General features: G+C 49.6%; 1 annotated feature.

The window, feature by feature from the left end:
- Positions 365–1,003: an enhancer, noted in NCBI's record as "H3K27ac-H3K4me1 hESC enhancer chrX:130798263-130798901 (GRCh37/hg19 assembly coordinates)". NCBI's record gives its function as "activates a minimal SCP1, AML or CMV promoter by ChIP-STARR-seq in primed H9 embryonic stem cells {active_cell/tissue: H9 hESC(primed)}" and the evidence as "EXISTENCE:reporter gene assay evidence [ECO:0000049][PMID:30033119]".

The following is a 1,686-nucleotide window of genomic DNA, read 5'->3' as shown; positions in this document are numbered from 1 at the left end:
CTTCTCACTTCATTTCATTCATTTCATCTTCCATCGCTGATACCCTTTCTTCCAGTTGATCGCATCAGCTCCTGAGGCTTCTGCATTCTTCACGTAGTTCTCGAGCCTTGGTTTTCAGCTCCATCAGCTCCTTTAAGCACTTCTCTGTATTGGTTATTCTAGTTATACATTCTTCTAAATTCTTTTCAAAGTTTTCAACTTCTTTGCCTTTGGTTTGAATGTCCTCCTGTAGCTCAGAGTAATTTGATCGTCTGAAGCCTTCTTCTCTCAGCTCGTCAAAGTCATTCTCCATCCAGCTTTGTTCCGTTGCTGGTGAGGAACTGCGTTCCTTTGGAGGAGGAGAGGCGCTCTACTTTTTAGAGTTTCCAGTTTTTCTGTTCTGTTTTTTCCCCATCTTTGTGGTTTTATCTACTTTTGGTCTTTGATGATGGTGATGTACAGATGGGTTTTCGGTGTGGATGTCCTTTCTGTTTGTTAGTTTTCCTTCTAACAGACAGGACCCTCAGCTGCAGGTCTGTTGGAATACCCTGCCGTGTGAGGTGTCAGTGTGCCCCTGCTGGGGGGTGCCTCCCAGTTAGGCTGCTCGGGGGTCAGGGGTCAGGGACCCACTTGAGGAGGCAGTCTGCCCGTTCTCAGATCTCCAGCTGCGTGCTGGGAGAACCTCTGCTCTCTTCAAAGCTGTCAGACAGGGACTTTTCAGTCTGCAGAGGTTACTGCTGTCTTTTTGTTTGTCTGTGCCCTGCCCCCAGAGGTAGAGCCTACAGAGGCAGGCAGGCCTCCTTGAGCTGTGGTGGGCTCCACCCAGTTCGAGCTTCCCAGCTGCTTTGTTTACCTAAGCAAGCCTGGGCAATGGTGGGCGTCCCTCCCCCAGCCTCGCTGCCGCCTTGCAGTTTGATCTCAGACTGCTGTGCTAGCAATCAGCGAGACTCCGTGGGCGTAGGACCCTCCGAGCCAGGTGCGGGATATAATCTTGTGGTGCGCTGTTTTTTAAGCCGGTCGGAAAAGCGCAGTATTCGGGTGGGAGTGACCTGATTTTCCAGGTGCGTCCGTCACCCCTTTCTTTGACTCGGAAAGGGAACTCCCTGACCCCTTGCGCTTCCCAAGTGAGGCAATGCCTTGCCCGGCTTCGGCTCACACACGGTGTGTGCACCCACTGACCTGCGCCCACTGTCTGGCACTCCCTAGTGAGATGCACCCGGTACCTCAGATGGAAATGCAGAAATCACCCGTCTTCTGCGTCGCTCACGCTGGGAGCTGTAGACCGGAGCTGTTCCTATTCAGCCATCTTGGCTCCTCCTCCCAGTCCACCATTCTTTTCAGCTTGCTGATTCTGAGTGATATGGTAAGTCCAGGAATTCTCTTGTTCATGAGCCCATTGTTGCACCTCCTTTGCAATATAATGGGCCTTTTGGTACAGTAAATCATTGTGTACAATTTAATGTCAATAAGATTAGGCATTTTCTAAGCCCTTGTATTGTGGGGATGATGTGGGTTTTGCAGACAAAGAAGGCAAACACATATCTCAGTATGTATCAATTCAGATAAAGATGAGTTGCTGCTCTTCCAAAATTGAAAGGAGTCTGATGTAATTGAAATTCTACCAGGTGTCTGGCAAGTAAGGTTCCATGTTGGAGATTGATTGTCTGTCTCCACTACTGGAGGATTGGGACATTCAGCAATTGCAGA

This window comes from Homo sapiens, chromosome X (assembly GCF_000001405.40).
Source record: "Homo sapiens chromosome X, GRCh38.p14 Primary Assembly".
NCBI classification, from domain to species: domain Eukaryota; kingdom Metazoa; phylum Chordata; class Mammalia; order Primates; family Hominidae; genus Homo; species Homo sapiens.
The sequence above is the reverse complement of the archived record's forward strand: the minus strand, read 5'-3'. Positions and strand labels throughout refer to the sequence as shown.